The 14,993-nt window shown below is 36.9% G+C and overlaps 1 protein-coding gene across 9 annotated transcripts in view; it reads left to right on the forward strand.

Moving 5' to 3' along the window:
• The window catches only part of IFT56 (intraflagellar transport 56), a 58,209-nt gene that overhangs the window by 7,027 nt on the left and 36,189 nt on the right, over positions 1 to 14,993 (forward strand). For 6 of the 9 annotated variants that reach the window (NM_001321740.2, NM_024926.4, NM_001144920.3 and 3 more), the window contains 3 exons: positions 1,452 to 1,501; positions 6,341 to 6,486; positions 7,402 to 7,573. In NM_001321740.2, coding sequence (NP_001308669.1) covers positions 1,452 to 1,501; positions 6,341 to 6,486; positions 7,402 to 7,573 — 368 coding nt within the window. Of the gene's footprint in view, positions 1 to 1,451; positions 1,502 to 6,179; positions 6,487 to 7,401; positions 7,574 to 14,993 lie in introns of all 9 variants that reach the window. The other 3 variants (NM_001321741.2, NM_001287512.2, NM_001318333.2) reach the window with 2 other exon arrangements.

Raw genomic sequence — 14,993 nt, forward strand, 5'->3', positions numbered from 1 at the left:
TAAAGTATGAACCAAATTAAGTTCAAGGAAATGCAGAGAAAGTGGGCACTGTAATGTTTGATAGGGAAGAATGTATTTGAGGTAAAATTAATTTATACATATAAAGAATTTCAGCCCAAATTCATGGCAAACATGGAACTTGAAGACTTTTTTTTTTTTTTAAAAGACAGGGTCAGCCGGGTGCAGTGGCTCATGCCTGTAATCCCAGCACTTTGGGAGGCCGAGGTGGGCGGATCACGAGGTCAGGAGATCGAGACCATCCTGGCTAACATGGTGAAACCCCGTCTCTACTAAAAATACAAAAAAATTAGCCAGGCGTGGTGGCGGGCGCCTGTAGTCCCAGCTACTCGGGAGGCTGAGGCAGGAGAATGGTGTGAACGCGGGAGGCGGAGCTTGCAGTGAGCCGAGATTGCGCCACTGCACTCCAACCTGGGCGACAGAACAAGACTCTGAAAAAAAAAAAAAAAAGACAGGGTCTCACTGTGTTGTCCAAGCTGGAGTACAGTGGCTATTCATAGGTGTGAGCATCGTATGCTATAGCTTCAAACTCCTGGGTTCAAGCCATCCTCCAGCCCCAGCCTCCTGAGTAGCTGAGGCTACAGCCACGCCCACCACCATGCCCAGCAAAGCCTTTCTTGATTTGTACCCAAATTATTTCATAGGTACTAATGTAGTTTTTCCTAATTTAGTTATAAGGTCCTTTATGTTACTTACTTTATCTCATATTTGTAGGCTTTATCTGTGCTAAGAACAGTGTTAGACACATATAAGGTGATTGTGGTAGCTATCTCTATTTCCATATTTTTTTTCTTATACATTGAAGTATGACTTTTTCTGTAAAAGAGATAGAATTGGGTATCCAGAATCAGAAAGTTTTCCAAGAGTGCAAAGGAGATTTGGAACTTAAAAGCTGTTAACATTTTTGCTGGACTGCCTGTTTCAGGATGGCACATAATTATGCTAGAAAATCTGTGGAATAGAGGCTGGGCTAGTATTTAGGAAAATATGGCAGTATAATTGTGGAAAAGGAGATATCAGAAGGAATTAACAAAGAATACTGGGACTAAGAGGTGAATGAGAGCAGATTCATACACACATTGAGATGACCATGGGTGTCTCTTACCACTGTTTGGTTTGGTATATGAACAACACAGAGGTGGGCTGCTACTACAACCATGTGTGTGGAGTGTTGCATGGTGGATCACCATAATAGGATCAGGTAGAACAAGCAGTGGAGAAGAACAGAATCTTAGCACCTTTCTCTTCTAGTTCTTGATGCTGTTTCTGCTACTGCAGGTGGACACCAGACTCAAACAATATGTATTCTAGCAGAGACATATTAGGATCAGATGAGTAAGGTTTGGGAAGATTCATCCGAGTCTCATTTCATTCCTACAAGGGACTGCTAGACTGTTGAGTTCTTTAATAAGCAGCTTGGATTTTTTTTTCAGCTTCAAAAAGCCGACTCCAAAACCGCCTCCTCTTCCACTTGGCTCACAAGGTATTTATGTTCTCATTTCACATTTTTTTGTTTTAAAAATATTTTTATTTTTCTTCCTTCTTGTTACTAACACTAGTGAGAGATATTTAATTAGAAATTCTTGTTAATGGTTTTCTAGAACAAGTGGAATATAACTGTTAATTGTATAGGATTTTCTCCTCTATCAATGTTCTTTACCTACTGCATTTATTCAGAGATGTTAGGTTTTATTTCTCCTTAAGCAACAGTCATATAAGAAGTTTAGACTGGCATGATAGCTCACGCCTGTAATCCCAGCACTTTGGGAGGCTGAAGCGGGCGGATCATCTGAAGTCAGGAGTTGGAGACCAGCTTGGCCAACATGGTGAAACCATGTGTCTACTAAAATACAAAAAAAATTAGCTGGGCTTGGTGGCACACCCCTTTAATCCCAGCTACTGAGGAGGCTGAGGGAGGAGAATCACTTGAACCCAGGAGGCGGGGGTTGCAGTGAGCCGAGATCGTGCCACTGCACTCCAGCCTGGGCGACAGCACGAGACTGTGTCTCAAAAAAAAAGAAGTTTAGTTTGTGTCAACTATACTATTATCTGTTAGGAAACAGACTCAGAGTCACCTTGTCCTGACTCCTAGAAATAAATATACACTTTTCAGAATTGCTGTATGGTAATAATTTTGATAATGATAAAATTATTTTTTAAATAATTTTTCAAATTTAAAATTTTAAATAATTGTTTAATTTATTTAAAAAATTGTTTTATAGCATTCCACCAAATGCATCATATGTGCCATTATTTATTCAGTGTTTCTTAGTTATTTGACTTCAGATTATTTATAATTTTAAAAATTTATAAAAATGTCATTCTGAACATCCTAGAAATGGACATACCTACTGGGTATGAGCAACTTTAAAGCTTTTAATTGATATTGCTAAGTTGTTTTACAGAAAGTTTAATCATCCACAGGCATTATATGAAAATAATTATTTCTGGTACATTTAGAAATTCCACATCATAATTGTCACTTTGTCTCTTTCTCTTTTTAGTTCTGCTTTACATGTTTTTCAGACTCTGTCATTAAGTGCACACAAACTTAGAATTGCTAGTAGACTGCCTAGCAATAATGTCTTCCTAGTAGACTGAAACATATATTATCATGAAATATCTCTCATCTCTGAAAAATTTCTCTTTGTCATATTTGTGAGCTATACTAGCTCTTTTGGGTAGCATTTGCCTATTATATCTCTCATCTATCCTTTTACTTTCTACCTTTCTATGTCCTTAAATTTAAGGTGACTCTTATAAACAGCATATAAATGAGTTTTGTGGGTTTTAAAATCCAGTTAAAATCTTTATTAAAAAAAAACCTCTAGTATATAATCCATTTACTTAATGTATTTACAAATACAGTTAGCTTCATAACTGCCATCCTGTTATTAGTTCTCTATTTGCCCAGCTGGTCCATGTGGTCTGTGTTCCTTTTTCTCTCCTTTCTTGCCTTTTTTTGGATTGATTTTTAAAACTATATATTTATCCTCGATTTGCTTGCTAGTTATGTACATTGGGAATATTATTTTAGCAGTTACCATATCATGTGTATTTTGCATATTAAAAAGTTTGATATTGATTAGTACTTTTACCAATTTCTAGAAAAATTAAAGGACCTTAGATCATTTAAACTCATTTACTCTCCATCTTATGTGCAAATTTGAAAAATATTTTAAGTGTCTATATGTTTCTAATCCCATAAGACTGTTTTATTACTGTTTTATGCAGTTAATATTCATTTATAATTAGCCATATTTTTCCTTTCCATTGCTCTTCATTTCTTCTTGCATGTTTGTGCTCCTATCTGAAATCATTTTCCATTTGAGGAATTTCCTTTAATATTTCCTTTAGTGGTGATGAATTCTCTCAGTTTTTGTCTAAACATATTTTTATTTGACTATGGTTTTTTAAAGGATTTTTTTCTCAGTGTAGAGTTCTAGGTAGGTAATTATTTTTGCTTAGCATTTTGAAGATGTTGCTTTATTGCTTCCTAGGTCCTTGTCTCTACTGAGATGTTAGCCATCAGTCTAATTGTTGCTCCTATGAAGATTTTTTTTCTGATCATGTTTAAGATTTATACATTGGTTTTTGTTATTAGCACTTTTCCTATAATATTCCCAGATATGGTTTTCTTTGTATTACACTACATCAGGTTCATAGTGCTTGCTCGAGGTCTTTTCTTTTTTTAATTAAAAGAATCCTTGGTCATTGTTACTTCAAATTTTGCTTCTGCTCTATACTCTCTTCTTTCCTTCTAGGCTCCCAGTAATATGTATGTATGTATGTATGTAGACCTTTTGTTTGTATCGCATGTAAACACTTTGTCACATTTTCTGTATATTTCCACAGAAATTTATTTTACTAATCATCATTCTTCAGCTGTGTCTAACCAGCTATTCCATTTATCTATTTCGTTCTTAATTTCAGTTATTGTATTTATTTTTAGAATTTACATTTTATTACTTTTTAAATTTCTAATTTCCAGTTAAAATTTCCTAATTTTTAATTTAATTTCTTAAATATATTGATAATAAGTTATTTTTAAAGTCCATGTCTAGTAATTCCAATAGTGTATCTCTGGACAGCTGTTTCCTGGTTTTCAGTCAAATGTTCTTATCTCCTGGTTTGCTTGGCAATATTGTGTTTAATGCTGGCTATTGTATATTAAAATATAGAGAGATAATTCGAGTCTCTGGATGCTTTTGTCTTCTTCCAGAGAGGATTTAGAATTTACTTTTACTTCTGGCAGGCACATAGAAAAGGGGCAAATCAACTGATACCTGTCAGAGATTGCAACAATTTAAAGCTGGTCTATTTCCATTTTACCTCTGTTTCTAGGGTAGCTTTCCAGGGGTCCCAACTGATAGCTTGGTGGGCCCCAATCTCTATTTTTTTGTCCATTAAGCCCATAAGACTTCTTGAAGCTCGCTTAGTTTTCAGCAACTCAGCCACCAATTGAGAATTGATAGGTACCATTAGAGAAAAAAATGGTACTAAATATCAGAATCACCTCTTTGCACTTCTGTTCTGCTTGGGATCTTGGTATCTCAAGTCTTCACTCACTTGGTAGCTCTCTGAACCCTTCACGTAGATTTTTTTTGTTTGTTTTTTTGAGACAGGATATCACTCCCCGTCACCCAGGCTGGAGTGCAATGGCGCCATCTCAGCTCACTGTAACCTCTGCCTCCCAGGCTTGAGCAATCCTTGTGCCTCAGCCTCCCAAGTAGCTGAGATTACAAGTGTGCACTGCCATGCCCAGCCAATTTTTGTAGAGACAGGGTATTACCATGTTGCCCAGGCTGGTCTCAAACTCCTGAGCTCAAGTGATCTGCTCACCTCAGCCTCTCAAAGTGCTGGGATTATAGGCGTGAGCCACTGCCCCTGCCCCTTTTACACAGATTTTTCAGTAGTTTTTAAGATTTTCTAGATGTTCTTGGTGGGAGCACTGCATACTACAAGCTACTCTAATATTATTAGTAGTGAAAGTCTTTGATTGAATTTAAAGAAATATATTTTATTGTGTTTTTCTTCTGATTACAAAAATAATACATGTTCATCATAGTACTTTTAGAAAATAGCAAATTGCATACACACAAAAATCAAGATTTCCTGTAAGACTGCCACTTAGAGCTAACACTGTAATATTTTACTCTCTTTTCTTCCAGTCTTTAAAAAATTTGTATTTTTATATGTGTATATATGTGTATATTTATATTGCCAAATTTGTATCATAGTATATATTCTGTTTTATAACCAGGCTTTTCACTTAAAAATGTATCATGAACATTTTTCCATGTAACTAGATAGTCTACAGAAGACAATTCTTTACAAAATTTTTAAGCTAATAAGTCATTCTCTGTAACAGGCAGGAGTGAGCAATCTACATATTAAGGGTCACTGTCAAAAATATATCTGTTCTGCCCCATATATAAGCAAAAGGCAGCTAATATTTGCGGCAGCCATCTAACAAAATAAGCATTACAAGGTTGGAATAGAATTCTGACAATCTCAAACAACAACAATATATAGTAACTGAAGAAAGGATGAAAAAATGTAGAGCAGGAAATTAAAAATTGAATACACTAGGTTACATGATGAGAAATACATTTTGATTCCCTATTGTCTACCAAGAAGAACGAGATATGAAAGAACAGATTGGCTGGGCACAGTGGTTCACACCTGTAATCCCAGCACTTTGGGAGGCTGAGGTGGGCGGATCACGACGTCAGGAGTTCAAGACCAGCCTGGCCAACATGGTGAAACCCCATCTCTACCAAAGATACAAAAAATTAGCCGGGCGTGGTGGCATGCGCCTGTAATCCCAGGAACTTGGGAGGCTGAGGCTGGAGAATTGCTTGAACCTGGGAGGCAGAGGTTGCAGTGAGCCGAGATCGTGCCATTGCACTCCAGCCTGGGGGACAGGGCAAGACTCCGTTTCAAAAAAAAAAAAAAAAAAGAAGAAAGAAAGAACAGATTAAAAATGTTACCAGGTAATAGTAAAGAGAGTAGACAGAAAAAGAAAAGGAAAGGGAGAAAATATAAAGAAAAAGAAAAGATAAGGGGAAGGGTCAAATAGTATTAACTGTAACCTAAGGGCTTTCCATTGTCGTTGTCAAGCTATGCCTCCAGAGGCTATTTCCATTGTTTCTTTGCAGGAGAAATGAAGTAGAAGACAAAGAACCTAAGGGAAATAGGAAGAAGAGAGAGACACAATGGCTAAAGAAGGAAGAGTTAAAATCTCTATCACATAGATATTGATTTCTCTAACAACACTAATATGAATCTTTACATGTCTTTTCCACTCTCACAATTTTAGTTTAATGATGAGAAAAAATTGATGAGCTTTCATCAAAATCTTCAGGATGTCACAGAAGATCAACTCAGTTTGGCCTCAATCCACTATATGCGATCTCACTACCAAGAAGCTATAGATATATATAAGCGAATACTGCTAGATAACAGGTCTGTGTCCTTTTATGCCCACTCTCCATTCCTTTCATTTTGTTAGTTTCTTCTTTAACTAGTTTGAGAATCTAGTGTCCTCTGGATCTAGTACCACTATGTGTTCAAATCTGTTTAGTTGATAATTTGGTGAGATTAAGAATTAGATATTGTCTAAATCAGGCTTTCTCTACCTTTTTTTGCATTGTCACCCTTCTAAAAGACTTTTTCCCCCAATTGCCCTCCCATGAAATTTTAATATACTGATAGATGTATATTAATATATATCCATATATGTACTATATGTATAACTGTGCTTTACATATAAAATGATTATGATTTTTTCATCCTCCCATTAAGAACCAATTTTTCCCCTTTGGGGGTAATACTGATATTACCCCAGTTGAAATGTATGGTCTAGATGTATCAAACTTAGTGTTATAGTTACATCGTAGGTAACTTGCTGACAAAATTAGATACAAATCATTCTTAAGAATTTACATTCCAACTTTAAACACTTGGCCTCTCTCTCCCTTCCCAAAAATATCTCATCCCCCTTCTTTCCATCCTCTTTTGCATTACCTTCTTAGTCTCCTACCTGCTTCCATTTCCAGCCATCAAGCCTATGTGTCTTGTCTGTTGGTCTTCTGTGTGGAGTGTGCTTGTGTTTATGTTCAATTATTGCATATATTAGTTTTTCAGTGTGAACAGCGTGAACTTTCCCTTTCTTCTCTAGTCATCTTTCATTCTACTTATATCAAAACACCCAAATATTGCAATGCAAAAAGAAAAAAATTATACTGATCATATCTTGCCCTCTTTCTTCATAAGGCAGGTTCATGAACTGTCCTCTTTGCCTTGTCCATTTGAGCTTTGTAATTTGACATTTCCGTGAAGTAGACTTAAATGGTTAACCCTAATTCTTTCATCTAATAGGGAATACCTTGCCCTTAATGTTTATGTGGCCCTCTGCTACTACAAGTTGGATTACTATGATGTGTCTCAAGAAGTTTTGGCTGTTTACCTTCAGCAAATTCCTGATAGTACCATCGCACTCAATCTTAAAGCCTGTAACCATTTTCGCCTTTACAATGGCAGAGCAGCTGAGGTATTGATGGAAGTGTGTTTTTAATGTACTTCATTCCAATTTGAATTACTTTATACTTTCCAAGTTATTCATGAAACTCTGTTATCTGTAACTCTTGATTAATATCCCTTTATCATTGCCACTGTGATTCTATAAGAACCTAATTATATGTTTATCAGGTATTCTAAAAAGAATGTTGACTTCTGAATTATCTGTGTTATGTCCATTAAATTGTAGATGATTTTACTGAGATGCCCTACATTTAAAACCAAATGCTTATGTTTAAAACCAAATGCTTCTGGCCGGGCGCTGTGGCTCAGCACTTTGGGAGGCCAAGGCGGGCAGATCACTTGAGGCCAGGAGTTTGAGACCAGCCTAGCCAACATGGCCCCATCTCTACTAAAAATACAAAAAATTAGCTGGGTGTGGTGGTGCATGCCTGTAATCCCAGCTACTGGGGGGTTCGGGGGGCGGGTGGAGGTTTCAGTGAGCCGAGATTGAGCCACTGCACTCCAGCCTAGGTGACAGAGCGAGACTCTGTCTCAAAAAAACCCAAAAACCAAAAAACAAATGCTTCAGCTTCTTCCTCTAAAATATGTGTGTGGCTCTGTGATTGAATGCCACCAACATACATCCAGTAAACCACATTAGAAACCTGGCATATCTGGGCCAGGCACGGTGGCTCACGCCTGTAATCCCAGCACTTTGGGAGGCTGAGGCAGGCGGATCACAAGGTCAGGAGATCGAGACCATCCTGGCTAACACAGTGAAACTCCATCTCTACTAAAAACACAAAAAATTAGCTGGGCGTGGTGGCGGGCGCCTGTAGTCCCAGCTACTTGGGAGGCTGAGGCAGGAGAATGGCGTGAACTCGGGAGGCAGAGCTTTCAGTGAGCCGAGATGGTGCCACTGCACTCCAGCCTGGGTGACAGAGCGAGACTCCATCTCAAAAAAAAAAAAAAAAGAACCCTGGCATATCTGTTGACTCTCTTCTTCATCTCCATGTAATCATCAGTTCCTATCAGCTATACATCCTAGATATCTCTTTTATCTATCCCTTCTTCTCCTTGGCTACTATTCTAACCCAGGAGTTTCTCACCTCTTATTTTGGCCCTTTAAATAGTGTTCCTGCCTTTAGTCAGTCTTGTTATCTTCAGTCCAACCACTGAATTTGTTCCACATGCCATGCTCTCTTACCACCATAGCTTTGTGTGCAACATTCTCACTCCTGGAATGACTTCCTTCTTTCTCTGCTTGGTACACGTCAACAAAGGTTAGCCCAAGAGGCAAAAATGGTGGACATTTTATAAATACTTAATTGGCTAACTTGTAGGCACCATGCAGAACACTTTAAATCCATTATTTAGTTTCCCTGACAAGCCTGTGGTTAGAGGCTATTGTAGTTCTCGTTTTATAGGAAACCGAGAAAACACAGGAGGCCATAGATTATTACCTCCTTTTGTTTCATTTAACATGTTTTAAATAACACATAACTTTACTAACATTTTAATAACATAATTTTATTTAACACATACACATATATACATATATAATATATAGATATAGGTAGATACATACATAGATATAGAATAGAAAATATGTTCTACACTATATCTATATACAAATATGTGGGTATAAATAGATCATTTAACATGGTTATTACTTTAGTTGATGTCAGAAGCCACCAAAATTTACATGTAAAATTTCTGCATGTGTCAAACTTTAAAAATCCTACCCTTGCCCTCCAAATTGAATTGCTTAGTATACACTTGAGCACATAGTATATACTTATATATTAAATAAAATGCATTCTTGGGGTAATAGTCATTTCAACTAAGGAGTCCCCCAAGTCTGCCTAATTGGCTTGTTTCCAGCATCAGCAGTTTAGTAAGAGACTCGATTAGCAATTTGGTATCTTTAGAGTTTTCACCCGTTAGTAAGAACAAATAAATGAAATACATTCTTGCCTTTCTACCTAGAGTCAGTCTTGGGGAAATTTACCAATTTTGGTGTGTGGTCCAATTTATTAAATGTTTACATTTTGTCTGTATATGTCTTTTCCATAGTCTAGTATGGTTACTCAATATCCTATCTATAGTATACACCTAGAATTATCCAAGTTAGGACATCAGAGTGTACTTCTAACCTCAAAAGGCAAGCTTTTTCCTTTGAAATTGTGTCAATGTAGTTTATATATTGATTTTATAATGTACTCCAGCAGTAGAAGGCTATGTCAAATGTACCAGAAGAACCTTTTTTTGGTACCAATAAGATAGAGTTTATGTTTAATTATTATAATTTTAATAAACTATTTAAATTCAGGCATTCTTCTAACTTGTATAACAGGGTCTGTATTACATTGTTCAGTGTCTCACAAACACCAATAGCATCCTGCTTTTCTAAAGTAAACAGGAAATAATTTGTAATGATTGACTTAATTCTTAAACTACTTTGAGTAACTTGTTCAGGCTTACACAACTAACATAACAAGTGGCAAATGCAGATCTCAAACTTTTGTCTGACTCCAACATAGACTTAACCACTAAAATGTCCTGCAATACACACACACAAAATGTCTCCATTCTGCTTATTATTTGTCAGTTGCCTAATTATCTTCAATCTAAACAAGCTCATTGATGGTTGAGACTGTGTCTTTTGACATTTGTGTCCCAGGACTGGGCACAATGCTTGCACAAAGTTGATGCCAACTGCTTATTTGTTGAATGAGAAATTAAAAGTATGACTGACAAATTAAGGAGAATCACATTTAAAGAAGGAGGAGATACAAAAGGTCAGTAGAAATGAAGACTGAGAAAAGGCCATTTTAATTAGAGTTTCCTACATTGCCATATCTGATTAGGATATCATTATTATTGGAGCTTGAAGCTAGGTTGCAGGGAGATCAGGAGTGAGTGAGTAACAACTCAGACTGGGAATTCTCATAAAGGGTATGGCAGAAGGGATGGCAAACAGATGATGAAAAAATAGAAACATTGAATGTAAGACAGTGGTTTAAAAAAATAAAATAAAAAAGGAGGAGAAAGCTGCTGGTTTTAGAGACTAAAGAGTTGAAGAACTTTTCCCCCAAAACTGGCACGGCCTCTAGGGTAGTGATTATGAGTTTGGGCTTGGAATCAGATAGACCCAAATTTCAACCCTGGCATAGTTGCTGTGTGACTTTAGGTGAAATACTTAACCTCCTTAAGCATCATCTGTAAAACAGGGAAAAAATGGTACTGACTCATTGTAGGTTCTTGTGAAGATTAAATGGTATGAGGTATGTAAAGTCCTTAACTTGATATACATAGTAAACTCTCAGTAAATATTTGTAATTATTAAAGATTTTGTAGGCTGAAAAATAGTCACATTGATCTGTTTCTTTATGTTTAGTGCTTTCTGTATCTTGTTTAAGAAACCATTTCCGGCTAGGCACAGTGGCTCACGCCTGTAATCCCAGAACTTTGGGAGGCCAAGGTGGGTGGATCACCTGAGGTCAGGAGTTCGAGACCAGCCTGACCAACATGATGGAACCCCATCTCTACTAAAAATACAAAATTAGCTGGGCATGGTGGCACATGCCTGTAATCCCAGCTACTTGGGAGGCTGAGGCAGGAGAATTGCTTGAACCTGGGAGGCAGAGGTTGCAGTGAGCTGAGATTGCGCCACTACATTCCAGCCTGGGCACAAAGAGTGAGACTCCATCTCAAAAAGAAAAAAAGAAACCATTTCCTAGCTCAAGATTATATTTTCTGGTATCCTCTTTTTAAAAAATTTATCTACTTATTTATTTAGAGACAGTGTCTCACTGTGTCACCAAGGCTGTGCAGTAGCACAATCATAGCTCATTGCAGCCTCAAACTCCTGGGCTCAAGTGATCCTTTTGCCTCAGCCTCCCAAGTAGCTGGAACTACAGACATGCGCCACTGTGCCTGGCTAATTTTAAAATTTTCTGTAGAGATGGGGTCTTGCTATGTTGCCCAGGCTGGTCTCAAACTTCTGGCTTCAACTAATCCTTCCACCTTGGGCACCCAAAGCTCTGGAATTACAGGCATGAGCCACTGTGCCCAATCACTTCTGATATTATCTTCTAATAGCCTATTTTTCTTTTTAAGCACAAATTTTCTGTAATTACATTATATTTTAAAGGATTAAGTTCTCCAGTTAAAAGACAAAGATTAGTAAATTAGAAAAGACAAAACCCTAATATATATTTTAAATAGAAAAGAAAATTTGAACATAAAGGATATGTTTCATGTGAAATATGTCTTACATGGTTTCTAACATTGGTGTCATGTTTTTAGAAAGGTCACTTTCATTCTAACGTAGATATGATGACCTACATCTTTAATTTATAGTTTTATTTATATATGGCTTTATTGAGATATAATTAACATATCATACAATTCACCCTTTTAAAGTGTACAGTTGGTTTTTTAGTATAGTCACAGCTTAAGTGCAACCATCACCACAGTCAATCTTAGGACATTTCATTATCTCAAAAAGAAATGTTGGCCAGGCACAGTGTCTCATGCCTGTAATCCTAGCACTTTGGGAGGCGGAGGCGGGCGGATTGCCTGAGCTCAGGAGTTCGAGACCAGCCTGGGCAACACAGTGAAACCCCGACTCTACTAAAATACAAAAAATTAGCAGGGCGTGGCCACGTGCGCCTGTAGTCCCAGCTACTTGGGAGGCTGAGGCAGGAGAATCGCTTGAACCCGGGAGGCGGAGGTTGCAATGAGCCGAGATTGCGCCACTGCACTCCAGCCCGAGCAACGGAGCAAGACTCCGTCTCCGGAAAAAAAAAAAAAAGAAATGGCCGGGCGCAGTGGCTCACACCTGTAATCCCAACATTTTAGAAGTCCGAGGCAGGCGGATCACAAGGTCAGGAGTTAGAGACCAGCCTGGCCAACATGGTGAAACCCTGTCTCTACTAAAAATATAAAAATTAACCGGACGTGATGGCGCATGCCTGTCATCCCAGCTACACAGGAAGTTGAGGCACGAGAATCACTTGAATCTGGGAGGCGGAGGTTGCAGTGAGCTGAGATTGCACCAATGCACTCCAGCCTGGGTGACCGATACTCCGTCTCAAAAAAAAAAAAAAGTCATACTCTTCAGCTATCAACCCCTATTGCCCCATTCCCCCAGCCCTGAGCAACCACTAATGTACTTTGTCATTATATATTTGCCTGCTCTGGATATTTCATATATATATGGAATCATATAATATTTGGTCTTTATGATCGGCATCTTTTACTTAGCATAGTGTTTACAAGGTTCATCATGTTGTAGCATCTATCAGTATTTTATTCATTTTTATGACCAAATAATATTTCGTTTTATGAATATACCTCTTTTAGTTTTTTCCATTCATCAGTTGATAGACACTTGTGTTGTTTCCACCTCTTGCCTGTTACGAATGCTGCTTCTATAAACATTATACTTTTTGTGTAAGTTTTTGTTTGTATGTATGTTTTCAATTCTCTCAGGTTTATACCTAGGAGTGGAATCACAGGGTCATATGGTAACTGTATATGTAATTGTCTGGGGAACTGCCAGACTGTTCCAAAGAAACTGCACTATTTTACATTCCCATCAGCAGTATATAAGCGTTTTGATTTCTTTGCGTTCTTGCCAACAGTTGTTATCATCTGACTTTTTGACTCTAGCCATTCTAGTGGTGTGAAGTGGAATCTTGTGGTTTCTATTTGCATTTCCCTGATGACTAATGATGTTGAGCATTGTTTCATGTGCTTGTTGGCCATTTGCATATCTTTTTTGTAGAAATGTCTATTTAAGTTCTTTGCCCATTTTTTAAATAAGTTATTTGTCTTTTTATTATTGAGTTTCACATGTTCCCATATATTCTAGGTTCAGTCCCTTATCAGATACACAAATTGCAAATGCTTTCTCCTATCCTATAGATTTTTTCATTTTCTTAATAGTATTTTTTTTGAAGCACGAAAGTTTTTAATTTTGATGAAGTCAAAGTTATCCTTTTTTTTTTTTTTGCCTTTTGTTTCTTGTACTTTTGGGGTTATATTTAAGATTCCATTGCCAAGTCCAGAGTCATGAAGATTTTCCCCTGTGTTTTCCACTAAGAGTTTTATAATCTTAGCTTTTAGGTCTTTGATCCATTTTGAATTAACATTTGTAAATGGCATGAGGTAAAAGTCCAACTTTATTCTTTTGCTTGTAAATATCCAGTTATTCCAGCACCATTTGTTGAAGAGACTATTCTTTCACCCTTTGAATGGTCTTGGCACTCTTGTTGAAAATCAGTTTATCATAGACAAATGGATTCATTTCTTCTGGACTCAGTTCTCTTCCATTGGTCTATATGTGTATCCTTACATTAATACCACACTATCTTCCTTACTTAGAGCAAGTTTTGAAATCAGGAAGTATGCGGCCTCCTAATTTGTTGTTTGTTTTCCCAGATTGTTTTGGTTACTCTGATCTGTTGCAATTCAATATGAATTTTAGAATCAGCTTATCAATTCCTACAGAGAACCCAGATTGGATTCTGATAGGGATTGCATTAAAGATCAGTTTTGGGATTAATGCTATCTTAATAACATTAAGTCTTTAAATCCATTCACATGGAATGTTTTTCCATTTATTTAGGTGTTTTTAAATTTCAGCAATATTTGGTGGTTTTTATGGGGCAAGTTTTACATTTCTTTTGATAAATTTATTACTAAGTACTTTATTATTTTTGATGCTATTGTAAATTAACTTGTTCCCTTAATTTCATTTTTGAATTGTTCATTGCAAGAGAATAGAAGTACTACTGATTTTTGTATTGATTGTATCCTGAAACCTTGCTGAACTCATTTATTGGCTTTCTTGCAGATTTTGGGGAGGATTTTCTATATATAAGATTATGTTTGTGAATCAGGATAGTTTTGCTACTACCTTTCCAGTCTGGATACCTCTTCTTCCTTTTTCTTGTCTAACTGCCCTGGCTAGAACCTTCAGTACAATGTTGAATAGAAGTGCTGAGAGCAGATATCCTTGTCTTGTTCCTGATCGTAGGTGGAAAGCATCCAGTATTTCACTGTTAAGAATGATGTTTGTTGTGGGTTTTTTGTAAATGTTCTTTCCAGGTGGGGGAACTTCCAAATGTTTTTTATCATGAAAGGATGTTAATGGAACTGCTTTTTCTATTAGCTATGGAGATGATCATTTAGTTTTTGGGTTTTATTCTATTGATATGGTATATTAATTGATTTTTGAATGTTAAACCACCCTTGTATTCCTGGAATAAATCTCACTTGGTCATCGTGAATAATCTTTTTAATACATTACAGGATTCCATTTGCTAAGAATTTTTTGGAGGATTTTGTGTCCATATTCAAAAAATATATTGGTCATTTTCTTCTCTTGTAATTTTTTTTTGGTTTTGGTATTGGGGTAATACTAGCCACATAGTATAAGG

Source organism: Homo sapiens, chromosome 7 (genome assembly GCF_000001405.40).
Source record: "Homo sapiens chromosome 7, GRCh38.p14 Primary Assembly".
Classification (NCBI taxonomy): Eukaryota; Metazoa; Chordata; class Mammalia; order Primates; family Hominidae; genus Homo; species Homo sapiens.